General features: G+C 40.0%; 2 annotated features.

Annotated features, from left to right (window-relative positions):
• Window positions 12,444-13,064: an enhancer, noted in NCBI's record as "OCT4-NANOG-H3K27ac-H3K4me1 hESC enhancer chr4:171709212-171709832 (GRCh37/hg19 assembly coordinates)". NCBI's record gives its function as "activates a minimal SCP1, AML or CMV promoter by ChIP-STARR-seq in primed H9 embryonic stem cells {active_cell/tissue: H9 hESC(primed)}" and the evidence as "EXISTENCE:reporter gene assay evidence [ECO:0000049][PMID:30033119]".
• Window positions 13,065-13,684: an enhancer, noted in NCBI's record as "OCT4-NANOG-H3K27ac-H3K4me1 hESC enhancer chr4:171709833-171710452 (GRCh37/hg19 assembly coordinates)". NCBI's record gives its function as "activates a minimal SCP1, AML or CMV promoter by ChIP-STARR-seq in primed H9 embryonic stem cells {active_cell/tissue: H9 hESC(primed)}" and the evidence as "EXISTENCE:reporter gene assay evidence [ECO:0000049][PMID:30033119]".

The following is a 14,936-nucleotide window of genomic DNA, read 5'->3' on the forward strand; positions in this document are numbered from 1 at the left end:
AGAGTCTCAATACCAAACACTCTGGAATTTAGAGATCAAGACTAGGAAAATAATCTCAAATCTCTGGTAAGAGAGTAATGATGGCAGTGGTGGCTCATCTGGAGGAGCTGCTGCCATGACACCGTCTGCAATAGGGGAGGTGTGGCAGGGACTGTGGGCACCACAGAGCCTGAGGGAGCTAGGAACAGGCAGAAGCCCCACCTGCTTCCTAGTTGGCAGGGTGTGAGCCTCGTGCTCCCTGGGCACAGCTGCTGGGGGCCCAGCCATGGCTCTGGACCAGGACATCCCTGTGCTCTTGGAGGCTAGGAGCAGGCAGGAGCTCTACCATCCTGGGTGAAGTTGTAGCTGTTTGGCCACAGGTTTGGAAGTGCCTGCTCCCACTGCCTGGCCTCTTTCTGTTCCCAGTGCCCGCTCTGATCTTGGAACAAAGTTAAGGCCAAGCTTGGGTGCTATCACAACCTGGCCAGGTGCGCCCAAGCTCGAGACAGTGCTGACATGCCAGCCTCCTGCCACCTCAGCCCCCTCTAGACTTTGGGTGCCGATAAGACCAGGAAGGAGCCTGAGGGGGCACTGAGGGTGGCTTGGCACAGGCCTGCAGGTGCCCCTTGGCACAGCTTGGGGGATGGCAGGAGGCAGACAGGCTCCTGGGTAGAAAAAGGTAAGTCCCTGGTGAAGTCCCACCTTCAGGCCATGGATGGCCTAATGCCTGGGGGCTGGGTTGATGGATGCGAATGGGAAGGCATGGTGCCTTTTCTGGGCCTACCCATGGCAGCCATTGAACAAAACAGCATGTACTTTCTCCCCTCTGAAGCCCATAAAAATCCGGGATTCAGCCAGACTTAGGGAGATGACCTGATGACCAGCTGTGGAGAGGAGCTACCCACTCCAGAGTCTTCTATCTGCCAAGAGCTGGGCAGATATTGGGACCACCAGCTGTGGAGAAGAGCTACCCAGTCCAGGGTTTCCTCTCTGCTGAGACCTTAGCAGATGTCGGGATTACCAGCTGAGGATAAGAGCTCCCCACTCCAGGGCCTCCTCTCTGCTGAGAGCTGAGCACTCGTTGGGACACCTTGCCTCTGGAGAGTAGCGACCCACTGTGGGTCTCCTCTGAGCTGTTCTGTTGCTCAATAAAGCTCCTCTTCACCTTGCTCACCCTCAACTTGTCCACATACCTCATTCTTCCTGGACACAGGGCAAGAACTAGGGACCTGTTGAATGGTGGAGGTAAAAGAGCTTTAACAAAAACAGGGCTGAAACTCCCCGTTGCTTGCCACACTGTGGGCAACAAGAAGGAGAGAAGAGAGAAGGAGAGAACATCTGTGGCCCTTTGGAGAGCACAGACCTAGGAGCTACCCAAGCCAGGGCTGTGATCCTCTCTCTGGAGCGCTGTGGTTCCTGGAGTCTTCAAGCTTCCGGGTGCCGCAGCACTCCCCATGCCAACCTTGGAAGCAGCTTGTGATATGTCTGGTTCAGCTGCAGTCTCATAAGGAGCTGGCATCCATGCCAGCACCTGGGGTTGCCTGTCCCACTGCAGGTGGCGTGCCTGACTGTGTGCAGTGGCTGGACCACCTGCTTGCTCACTCACACATTCCTGCTGCTTTGCACCTGGCTTGCCCCCTGGAAGGCATGAGATTCTAGCCCGTAATGTGAGTCTAGTGCTGCCTGCCAAGCCAAGTGGGTAGAACAAGCCCAGGAGGCCCCAGTAAAAACTTGGGCAAAGGAACCACTGGCCGCAGAGGTTTCTGGCTGGTAAAGCAACACCCCAGGGATCCCATAATAGTAAGGAATCACAATCACTAAAATAAAAGAGTGTTTCAAGAACAAAGCAGTGTTCAACATTGAACAAAGAACAAAGGAGTGTGTGAATTCAGGTTACCAAAGTGCCCATTAAGCATTGGAGCCATAACAAAAGCAAAAATTGACAAATGTGACCTAATTAAACTGAAGAAATTCTGCACAGTAAAAGAAACTATCAACAGATTAAACAGACAACCTACAGAATAGGAGAAAATATTTTCTAACTACACATCTGACAAAGATGTAATATCCAGAATCTATAAGGAACTGAAACAATTTAACAAATAAAAAACAAATAACCCATCAAAAAATGGGCAGGTATATTAACAGACACTTTTCAAAAGAAGACATACAAGTGGCCAACAAACATATGAAAAAATGTTCCATATCACTAATCATCAGAGAAATGCAAATCAAAACCACGATGTGATACCATCTCACACCAGTTCGAACGTCTATTATTAAAAAGCCAAAAAATAACAGATGCTGACCAGCCTTCAGAGGAAAGAAAATACTTACACATTCTTAGTTGGAATGTAAATTAGTTCAGCCCCTGTAGAAAGCAGTTTGGAGATTTCTCAAAGAACTCAAAACTACCATTAGGCCCAGCAATCCCATTGCTAGGTGTATATCCAAAAGGAAACAAATTATTCTACCAAAGACACATACACTTGCATATTCTTTGCAGCACCATTCACACTAGCAAAGACATGGAATTAACTTAAATGCCCATCACTGGTGAACTGGATAAAGGAAATGTTGTATACATACATCATGCAATACTATGCAGCCATAAAAGAGGACAAAATGATATTCTTTGCAGCAACATGGATGCAGCTAGAGGCCATTATCCTAAGCAAATGAATGCAGAAACAGAAATCCAAATACCACATGTTCTCAATTATAAGTGGGTGCTAGATATTAGATACACAAGAACATAAAGATGGCAACAATAGAAATTGAGGACTGCTAGATGGGAGAGGAAGTGAGGAGGGCAAGAGTTGAAAAACTAACTGTTGGATACTATGATCAATACCTGGGATCACTCATACCCTAAACCTCAGCATCATGCAATATACCCAGGTAATAAACCTGCACATGTACCCCTGAAGCTAAAATAAAAGTTGAAGAAAAAGAATTGGAGCCATGAAGACCATTAACAACTTTCACAAGAGAAGTTGTAGGAATGTGGTAAGGGCAGAAATGCATGTATTGAGTTTAAGAATAAAAACGTGACAGAATGAAAAGTTTCTTTGGAAATGTTTGTTTTGAAGCAATTATAGAAAAATGGGATGTGGAACAACCGAAGTGTCAAGGTAGAGTCTATATACCAGCAAAAGCGTGCCTGTAAGCTAATAATAGTCTATTCTGGAGAATAAGAGGGATTGATAGTTTAAAAATGAAAATGTGGCTGGGTGCGGTGGCTCATGGCAGTAATCCCAGCACTTTGGTAGCCCCAGGAGGGCGGATCAAGAGGTCAGAAGTTCAAGACCAGCCTGGCCAACATGGTGAAGCCCTGTCTGTACTAAAAATACAAAAATTAGCTGGGCGTCGTGGTGTGCACCTGTAATCCCAACCACTCGGGAGGTTGAGGCTAGAGAATCTCTTGACCCTGGGAGGCAGAGGTTGCAGTAAGCCGAGAATGGCCACTGCACTCCAGCATGGGTGACAGAGCGAATCTCTGTCATGGAAAAAAAAAGTGAAAATGTATAACAGAAGTGTTAAAATCTTTGCATCCATAGCACAAGATACTTACGTTTGATAAGCAGAGAGCCACGTAGTCTTTGCAATGCTATTGTAATTTATTCAAATAATAAAAGAGGTATAGCTGTGTATTTGGTAGTGTAAAGTAACAGAAAAAAATGTTAAGGCTTATGAATTGCTTAGGAAATATAAGACAAGGTCAGAAGCTAAATGATGCATGAGAAGACTAATAAGTGAGAAATATAAAAAATAGTTATCATAGAGAGTAAGAGCAGATGCTGTAGAGAAAGAAAATAAGGTTACTAAGCGGTACTGAGTGTCCATGGAAATTGGCGATCATGAGCATATGGTGAGACCATTTTGTGTAGGGTGTGATTTCCCCTGCAAAATTTTCTACATATCTGCATGTATGAAAAAGATTGGTAAGTTCCTCCAGGAAAGAAAAATTTCCATGTGATTGTGAAAAAGATAAGTTGCAATTTGTAAATTTTTGAAGGAAATTGAAGATCTCAGTGGTGTCAAGTGATTAATACAGTTAATGCTTGTATAAGAAATAGGTTATATTTGAAGATTTTTCAAGTAAAAATAGGTTTTGAAGGTAATACAATTTTTGCTAATTATAAGGTTTATGATATAATATGAAAATATAATTGGATGAAAAGGAGATAAAGGTCATTAGAGATCTAGAAGTCAAGGAACTTAGAGGCAAGTGGGCAGGGTGAACTAATCATATGTAAGTTGAAGTTTACAAAGAATAGAAAGGTTAGTAATAATATAATGTTGAAAAAGATAAGAGAGTCTATGGTTAACCCCCTACCCCCGAATGCAAAGATGATGGCAAAGCTGAATGTCATGGACTTAATGAAGGACTTTTACAAGCAGAGGAAACAAGTGGTTTGGAGGTAACCCTGAATTGCAGGAACACTAACCCTACTTTACAAGTTTGATGTACATGGCATGAGGGTAAATAATCAGGTTACACTTAAGAGAAGAAACTCCCTTATCAATTAAGATGGGAGAAAAAATGCTATGAAAGAAGATGAAGATTGATAGAATGATCTGGTCAAAAACAGGAATTTCCTGGGGCATAGTGGAGCAAGTTTGGAAGGAAGGGAAGAGGAGTGAGAAGGGGATGATAAAAAATATGTAGAATGAGATAAAAGAAAATAATGCATACCTTAGGAGACTTAGACTTCTGGTAGAGTTGAGATAGGTGAGTATTATGAATATTTTTAATGGTTTCCATGAGAAATTATCAAGGTATAGTGAATAAAATAGGCAAGTCTCAGCTTTGAGCTCATGTTGTAGCAGGCAATGGCAGAATATAAATAACTATAAGATATGTGGTGATAGTGCTGTGGACAAAGATAAAACCAGATGCAGAATATGGTGCATTAAAGTAGTGAGAGAGTGCTATTTTACATTCAATATCTGGGGAAAACCCTCTGTTAAAATCAAATTTGAACAGAGTACTGTGAGTATGGGGATTATGATATGCGATAAAGAGGGGAGGTGGTTGGGAGCCAGAACATGGAGGACCTAAGGAACTGCTGTAAGGCCTTTGACATTTATTCAGAATGAATGGACACCGCTGACCGATTTTAAGCAGAATATCTGTCAGATATTTTAGAAGTGGTATTCTGACGGCTCTGCTGAGAATGAGAAAACATTTTTTACTGGATAGATTTTGAAGGCAGAGTCAACATCAGTTGTGCTGCATTACAAGTGATGCAGAAAAGCAAGAAAATAACCAAGGAGACCTCTAAATATGTGTGAGAGTTTTCCTCCTGTTGAACAGATACTCTATATCGAGATGAGAAAGACCGAAGTGCAGGTTTGTGGGTGGGAAACAGAAGGTTTATTTTATTTTATTTTATTTTATTATTTTTGAGACAGAGTTTCACTCTTGTTGCTCAGGCTGGAGTGCAGTGGCACCAGCTGGGCTCACTGCAACCTCCACCTCCCGGGTTCAAGCGATTCTTCTGCCTCAGCCTCCCAAGTAGCTGGGACTACAGGCACACGCCACCATGTCTGTAATTTTTTTCTATTGTTGGTAAAGACGGGGTTTCACCATATTGGCCAGGCTGGTCTCAAGCTCCTGACCTCAGGTGATCCGCCCACCTCGGCCTCTAGAAGTTCTGGGATTACAGGCGTGAACCACCATGTCCCACAGAAGGTTAATTTTAGATATCTAGGTGGAACTGATAAGTCAGTAGGCTGTTAAGTGGATTGGTATAAACTGGGGATGTAATTTGGAAGTAAATAGCATATAGTGGTTTTTATATCCATGAGAGTGGTGGAGGTCATGTGAGCAGTCTGTGTAGTTTAAGCAAAGGAATTACAAAATGAAGCCTATGGGACTCCATATTTTAAGGGTTAGACGGTGAGGAAGGTCCAGCAAAGTTGTTGACTAGGAATGGCTTAAGATGGAAGAAAACTAACAGCTGCAAACATGATAGCTGTTTCTTCCCTTTCTTCCATCATTCCTGCCGTTATTTTCCTCTTCCTCTTTATTCTTAGCTCACTTATTTTCCTCCTTCCAGTTTTAGCTTTTTTCCTCTCTAATTTTACACGTCTTTTTCTTTCCTTTTTTGAGGGGTTGTTTTTATTTGAGAAATAGTTTAGGAAATGCCTTCATTGTTAGATGCTTTATTTATCACTAAGATTTCAGATGTTTTCTTAAAAAACCACTTAAGGAATTACTGGAATTCTGATAGTTACCCATTTAATATGGTTTATGTGTAAGATCTCTCTTTAAGCATTTTTCTCTAGTATGTGTTGGTTAAAAAAAAACATGAAGAATCAGCTCTTTGCAATTATTTAGCAAGATTTAGGCAAAGCCTTTCAAAGTAATTATTACGGTCTTGATCAATGTGATTAATTTTCTATGTGACAGAAACTTGGAATTGAAGAGCAATCTTTAGAAAAATAAATTTGCAGTGACACAATTGTATAATTTGTAAATGATTAAAAATGGATAATAGTTTGCATTTATGAAGGAGAATTGTTCTGAGTGGTTTTAGAAGAGGAAAATAACATTCCACAATTTACCAAAAATATAAAATGTCTGATTGAGGAAATCATTTTGAATTGCTATTAAAAATTTTCAAGGTGCCATTAAACTGAAATGTACTGTATTTGAAATTGTAGATAAACCCAGTCCTATACGTTTGCATCACTATTTATGACTCTTTTTTGTTGTTGTTGCTGTTTTCTTTTCTTGGAGGCTAATTTAACAGAGATTGAAGCTAATTTTGGAAGAAATATTCTGATTTTCTTATTATTCTTCAAATTATTATTATTTAAACTCACTAGGGAGCATCTGACAAACCATTGTAAAATTTTGCTATTTGAGAGCTAAATACGTCTCACATATAAATGAAGCTATGTAATGGTAATATAACTCTGGAAAGCTGATTATTAGAAATAATAAAGTCTCAGGGGAATTGAGAAGCCCTAAACTATGTTTTGAGAATTAGAATAGCTCAAGGCCATAATGTTGCCTGGCTACTGAAACAATAATACACTCATATCGAATCACTGCCACTTAGAGAAATATGAACTATCTTTAAGTTTCAGCTCAAATTTTATTTTAAAAAAGAACATCACCATGTTTCTCTAACCATAGATGCCACTAATTTATACAATAAACAATTTACAATTAGATACTTAAAGTTGTTTTGTTATAAATTTAATTTTAAAAAATTATTCAGAATTTTAAATACTCATTTTCATAAATAACTTCATAATGCTTTATTGTATACATATTCATGCATATATAATATGCATTTAAATATTGTGCATATAATTAATTTTAAAATATCTTAAATGTTTTTTTTTTCTGGTGTCATTTTTTTTAAATTTTTTTTATTTTTATTATACTTTAAGTTTTAGGGTACATGTGCACATTGTGCAGGTTAATTACATATGTATACTTGTGCCATGCTGGTGCGCTGCACCCACTAACTCGTCATCTAGCATTAGGTATATCTCCCGATGTTATCCCTCCCCCCTCCCCCCACCCCACAACAGTCCCCAGAGTGTGATATTCCCCTTCCTGTGTCCATGTGATCTCATTGTTCAATTCCCACCTATGAGTGAGAATATGCGGTGTTTGGTTTTTTGTTCTTGCGATAGTTTACTGAGAATGATGATTTCCAGTTTCATCCATGTGCCTACAAAGGACATGAACTCATCATTTTTTATGGCTGCATAGTATTCCATGGTGTATATGTGCCACATTTTCTTAATCCAGTCTATCATTGTTGGACATTTGGGTTGGTTCCAAGTCTTTGCTATTGTGAATAATGCCGCAATAAACATACGTGTGCATGTGTCTTTATAGCAGCATGATTTATAGTCTTTTGGGCATATACCCAGTAATGGGATGGCTGGGTCAAATGGTATTTTTAGTTCTAGATCCCTGAGGAATCGCCACACTGACTTCCACAATGGCTGAACTAGTTTACAGTCCCACCAACAGTGTAAAAGTGTTCCTATTTCTCCACATCCTCTCCAGCACCTGTTGTTTCCTGACTTCTTAATGATCGCCATTCTAACTGGTGTGAGATGGTATCTCATTGTGGTTTTGATTTGCATTTCTCTGATGACCAGTGATGATGAGCATTTTTTCATGTGTTTTTTTGGCTGCATAAATGCCTTCTTTTGAGAAGTGTCTGTTCATGTCCTTTGCCCACTTTTTGATGGGGTTGTTTGTTTTTTTCTTGTAAATTTGTTTGAGTTCATTGTAGATTCTGGATATTAGCCCTTTGTCAGATGAGTAGGTTGTGAAAATTTTCTCCCATTTTGTAGGTTGCCTGTTCACTCTGATGGTAGTTTCTTTTGCTGTGCAGAAGCTCTTTAGTTTAATTAGATCCCATTTGTCAATTTTGGCTTTTGTTGCCATTGCTTTTGGTGTTTTAGACATGAAGTCCTTGCCCATGCCTATGTCCTGAATGGTAATGCCTAGGTTTTCTTCTAGGGTTTTTATGGTTTTAGGTCTAACGTTTAAGTCTTTAATCCATCTTGAATTGATTTTTGTATAAGGTGTAAGGAAGGGATCCAGTTTCAGCTTTCTACATATGGCTCACCAGTTTTCCCAGCACCATTTATTAAATAGGGAATCCTTTCCCCATTGCTTGTTTTTCTCAGATTTGTCAAAGATCAGATAGTTGTAGATATGCGGCATTATTTCTGAGGGCTCTGTTCTGTTCCATTGACCTATATCTCTGTTTTGGTACCAGTACCATGCTGTTTTGGTTACTGTAGCCTTGTAGTATAGTTTGAAGTCAGGTAGTGTGATGCCTCCAGCTTTGTTCTTTTGGCTTAGGATTGACTTGGCGATGCGGGCTCTTTTTTGGTTCCATATGAACTTTAAAGTAGTTTTTTCCAATTCTGTGAAGAAAGTCATTGGTAGCTTGATGGGGATGGCATTGAATCTGTAAATTACCTTGGGCAGTATGGCCATTTTCATGATATTGATTCTTCCTACCCATGAGCATGGAATGTTCTTCCATTTGTTTGTATCCTCTTTTATTTGCTTGAGCAGTGGTTTGTAGTTCTCCTTGAAGAGGTCCTTCACATCCCTTGTAAGTTGGATTCCTAGGTATTTTATTCTCTTTGAAGCAATTGTGAATGGGAGTTCACTCATGATTTGGCTCTCTGTTTGTCTGTTGTTGGTGTATAAGAATGCTTGTGATTTTTGTACATTGATTTTGTATCCTGAGACTTTGCTGAAGTTGCTTATCAGCTTGAGGAGATTTTGTGCTGAGACAATGGGGTTTTCTAGATATACAATCATGTCGTCTGCAAACAGGGACAATTTGACTTCCTCTTTTCCTAACTGAATACCCTTTATTTCCTTCTCCTGCCTAATTGCCCTGGCCAGAACTTCCAACACTATGTTGAATAGGAGTGGTGAGAGAGGGCATCCCTGTCTTGTGCCAGTTTTCAAAGGGAATGCTTCCAGTTTTTGCCCATTCAGTACGATATTGGCTGTGGGTTTGTCATAGACAGCTCTTATTATTTTGAGATACATCCCATCAATACCTAATTTATTGAGAGTTTTTAGCATGAAGGGTTGTTGAATTTTGTCAAAGGCTTTTTCTGCATCTATTGAGATAATCATGTGGTTTTTGTCTTTGGCTCTGTTTATATGCTGGATTACATTTATTGATTTGCGTATATTGAACCAGCCTTGCATCCCAGGGATGAAGCCCACTTGATCATGGTGGATAAGCTTTTTGATGTGCTGCTGGATTCGTTTTGCCAGTATTTTATTGAGGATTTTTGCATCAATGTTCATCAAGGATATTGGTCTAAAATTCTCTTTTTTTTGTTGTGTCTCTGCCTGGCTTTGGTATCACAATGATGCTGGCCTCATAATATGAGTTAGGGAGGATTCCCTTTTTTTCTATTGATTGGAATAGTTTCAGAAGGAATGGTACCAGTTCCTCCTTGTACCTCTGGTAGAATTCGGCTGTGAATCCATCTGGTCCTGGACTCTTTTTGGTTGGTAAGCTATTGATTATTGCCACAATTTCAGCTCCTGTTATTGGTCTATTCAGAGATTCAACTTCTTCCTGGTTTAGTTTTGGGAGAGTGTATGTGTCCAGGAATTTATCCATTTCTTCTAGATTTTCTAGTTTATTTGCATAGAGGTGTTTGTAGTATTCTCTGATGGTAGTTTGTATTTCTGTGGGATCGGTGGTGACATCCCCTTTATCATTTTTTATTGTGTCTATTTGATTCTTCTCTCTTTTTTTGTTTATTAGTCTTGCTAGCAGTCTATCAATATTGTTGATCCTTTCAAAAAACCAGCTCCTGGATTCATTAATTTTTTTGAAGGGTTTTGTGTATCTCTATTTCCTTCAGTTCTGCTCTGATTTTAGTTATTTGTTGCCTTCTGCTAGCTTTTGAATGTGTTTGCTCTTGCTTTTCTAGTTCTTTTAGTTGTGATGTTAGGGTGTCAATTTTGGATCTTTCCTGCTTTGTCTTGTGGGCATTTAGTGCTATAAGTTTCCCTCTACACACTGCTTTGAATGCATCCCAGAAATTCTGGTATGTTGTGTCTTTGTTCTCGTTGGTTTCAAAGAACATCTTTACTTCTGCCTTCATTTCGTTATGTACCCAGTAGTCATTCAGGAGCAGGTTGTTCAGTTTCCATGTAGTTGAGCGGTTTTGAGTGAGATTCTTAATCCTGAGTTCTAGTTTGATTGCACTGTGGTCTGAGAGACAGTTTGTTATAATTTCTGTTCTTTTACATTTGCTGAGGAGAGCTTTACTTCCCAGTATGTGGTCAATTTTGGAATAGGTGTGGTGTGGTGCTGAAAAAAATGTATATTCTGTTGATTGGGGATGGAGAGTTCTGTAGATGTCTATTAGGTCCGCTTCGTGCAGAGCTGAGTTCAATTCCTGGGTATCCTTGTTGATTTTCTGTCTCGTTGATCTGTCTAATGTTGACAGTGGGGTGTTAAAGTCTCCCATTATTAATGTGTGGGAGTCTAAGTCTCTTTGTAGGTCACTCAGGACTTGCTTTATGAATCTTGGTGCTCCTGTATTGGGTGCACATATATTTAGGATAGTTAGCTCTTCTTGTTGAATTGATCCCTTTACCATTATGTAATGGCCTTCTTTGTCTCTTTTGATCTTTGTTGGTTTAAAGTCTGTTTTATCAGAGACTAGGATTGCGACCCCTGCCTTTTTTTTTTTTCCATTGGCTTGGTAGATCTTCCTCCATCCTTTTATTTTGAGCCTACATGTGTCTCTGCATGTGAGATGGGTTTCCTGAATACAGCACACTGATGGGTCTTGACTCTTTATCCAATTTGCCAGTCTGTGTCTTTTAATTGGAGCATTTAGTCCATTTACATCTAAAGTTAATATTGTTATGTGTGAATTTGATCCTGTCATTATGATGTTAGCTGGTTATTTTGCTTGTTAGTTGATGCAGTTTCTTCCTAGTCTCGATGGTCTTTACATTTTGGCATGATTTTGCAGTGGCTGGTACTGGTTGTTCCTTTCCACGTTTAGTGCTTCCTTCAGGAGCTCTTGTAAGGCAGGCCTGGTGGTGACAAAATCTCTCAGCATTTGCTTGTCTGTAAAGTATTTTATTTCTCCTTCACTTATGAAGCTTAGTTTGGCTGGATATGAAATTCTGGGTTGAAAATTCTTTTATTTAAGAATGTTGAATATTGGCCCCCACTCTCTTCTGGCTTGTAGGGTTTCTGCTGAGAGATCCTGTTAGTCTGATGGGCTTCCCTTTGAGGGTAACCCGACCTTTCTCTCTGGCTGCCCTTAACATTTTTTCCTTCATTTCAACTTTGGTGAATCTGACAATTATGTGTCTTGGAGTTGATCTTCTCGAGGAGTATCTTTGTGGCGTTCTCTGTATTTCCTGAATCTGAACGTTGGCCTACCTTGCTAGATTGGGGAAGTTCTCCTGGATAATATCCTGCAGGGTGTTTTCCAACTTGGTTCCATTCTCCCCATCACTTTCAGGTACACCAATCAGACGTAGATTTGGTCTTTTCACATAGTCCCATATTTCTTGGAGGCTTTGCTCATTTCTTTTTATTCTTTTTTCTCTAGACTTCCCTTCTCGCTTCATTTCATTCATTTCATCTTCCATCGCTGATACCCTTTCTTCCAGTTGATTGCATCAGCTCCTGAGGCTTCTGCATTCTTCATGTAGTTCTCGAGCCTTGGTTTTCAGCTCCATCAGCTCCTTTAAGCACTTCTCTGTATTGGTTATTCTAGTTATACATTCTTCTAAATTTTTTTCAAAGTTTTCAACTTCTTTGCCTTTGGTTTGAATGTCCTCCTGTAGCTCAGAGTAATTTGATCGTCTGAAGCCTTCTTCTCTCAGCTCGTCCAAGTCATTCTGCAACCAGCTTTGTTCCGTTGCTGGTGAGGAACTGCATTCGTTTGGAGGAGGAGAGGCGCTCTGCTTTTTAGAGTTTCCAGTTTTTCTGTTCTGTTTTTTCCCCATCTTTGTGGTTTTATCTACTTTTGGTCTTTGATGATGGTGATGTACAGATGGGTTTTTGGTGTGGATGTCCTTTCTGTTTGTTAGTTTTCCTTCTAACAGAGAGGACCCTCAGCTGCAGGTCTGTTGGAGTACCCTGCTGTGTGAAGTGTCAGTGTGCCCCTGCTGGGGGTTGCCTCCCAGTTAGGCTGCTCGGGGGTCAGGGGTCAGGGACCCACTTGAGGAGGCAGTCTGCCCGTTCTCAGATCTCCAGCTGCGTGCTGGGAGAACCACTGCTCTCTTCAAAGCTGTCAGACAGGGACATTTAAGTCTGCAGAGGTTACTGCTGTCTTTTTGTTTGTCTGTGCCCTGCCCCCAGAGGTGGAGCCTACAGAGGCAGGCAGGCCTCCTTGAGCTGTGGTGGGCTCCACCCAGTTCGAGCTTCCCGGCTGCTCTGTTTACCTAAGCAAGCCTGGGCAATGGCGGGCGCCCCTCCCCCAGCCTCGCTGCCGCCTTGCAGTTTGATCTCAGACTGCTGTGCTAGCAATCAGCGAGACTCCATGGGCGTAGGACCCTCGGAGCGAGGTGTGGGATATAATCTCGTGGTGCACTGTTTTTTAAGCCTGTCGGAAAAGCGCAGTATTCGGGTGGGAGTGACCAGATTTTCCAGGTGCCGTCCATCACCCCTTTCTTTGACTGAGAAAGGGAACTCCCTGACCCCCTGCGCTTCCCGAGTGAGGCAATGCCTCGCCCTGCTTCAGCTCACGCACGGTGCGCGCACCCACTGACCTGCGCCCACTGTCTGGCACTCCCTAGTGAGATGAAGCCGGTACCTCAGATGGAAATGCAGAAATCACCCGTCTTCTGCGTCGCTCACGCTGGGAGCTGTAGACCGGAGCTGTTCCTATTCGGCCATCTTCTCTGGTGTCCAAAATATCTTAAATGTTTTGACCATCCATGCCCTCAAAGGTCATCATGTGAGCTGATATGTTATTTAACTTGATTGTGGTAATCAGTTCACAATGTATACATATACCCAAAACATAATGTTGTGTACAATAAATATATAGAATTTCTATTTTTCAGTTATACCTTTATATAGCTGGAAAAATATTATGAATAAATATTTAATGAAAGTTTGGTTGAAGTCCATATTTACACTTCTCATGTATGCTACCACATAAAAATATGTGTGTGCTGAAAAAGTACTAAGTTTGTAAATAGAAGAACTTTTAAAGGGTCACTTCCTATCCTATCCTAGCTTTTAAAATTTGGGTAGATCACTTTATCCTTGGAGGTTCCATTTTTTATCTGTAAAATAGAATCAGAGATTCTCTTTTATATATTTAAAATGGCTGTTATAAGGCTGAAATTTGGTCTTTGAAATAATGATGAAAAAATACATAAAATTTATAAATGCATTAGAAGGGGAAAGAACACTTCTAAAGTCAAATATGAGGTCTGGACTATCCTAAGGCCAGGCACTGACTGTACAAGAAACACATGCTAAAGACTATGTTTTATGAGTATAGACATAAATATCTTCAACATAATATTAGCAAAGAAAATGAGCATATAGATTTATTCAGTCTATTTATTCTCTACCTATAAACAAATGCATATAAATTGAAAAGAAAGAAGTAAAATTACTTCTATTTACAGATTGATTGACTCCAGAGTTTGGAAAGTTTCAAAAAATCTACAAACATTCCAAGAACTAGTAGGTTCAGAACAGTTTCACGATATAAGATGAACGTACAAAAGTTAATTGCATGTCCATGTAATAGCAACGAACAATTGGAATTTAAAAAAAATCCACTTTAAAACCAAAAATATACATATAATATGTATGCTAAAAACTACAAAATTTGCATAAAGTAAATCAAAGGATACATAAAGGGAGCAATATGCAGTGTTCATGGAGCAGAAGACACAATACTTCTAAAATATTATTTTTTTTCAATCAATCTATAGTTTAATTCTAATCTCAATAAAAATTCTAGTAAGCTCTTTTGTGGATGGTGACATCCACAAGCAGATACTGAAATTTATATTAGAGAGCAAATCAACAGGAATAGCCAAAACGATTTTGAAAAGAACAAGTTGGAGAATTCACACTTGAGGATTTCAAGACATTCTAAAGGTACAGTGATGAAAACACTGAGTTTGCAGAACAGTAGAGTAAATGTGTGTTTATTGATGAAACGAATGTATATTCATGAATGTATATTGGTAAAAAGATACACACATAGATCAGTGAAACAGAACGGAGTGCAGAGTAGACCCACACAAATGTAGTCAACTGATTTTCTTTTCACAAAGTTGAAAGGCATTTTAATGGACAAAGGATCGTTCCTTTCAACAAATGAGTGTGCAATAATTGGAAACAAACCTCAACAAATACCTCACAACTTAAACAAAAATTAACTCAAAATGGATCTTAGACTTGTGTGGAAAACCTAAAACTATA

Source organism: Homo sapiens, chromosome 4 (genome assembly GCF_000001405.40).
Source record: "Homo sapiens chromosome 4, GRCh38.p14 Primary Assembly".
Classification (NCBI taxonomy): domain Eukaryota; kingdom Metazoa; phylum Chordata; class Mammalia; order Primates; family Hominidae; genus Homo; species Homo sapiens.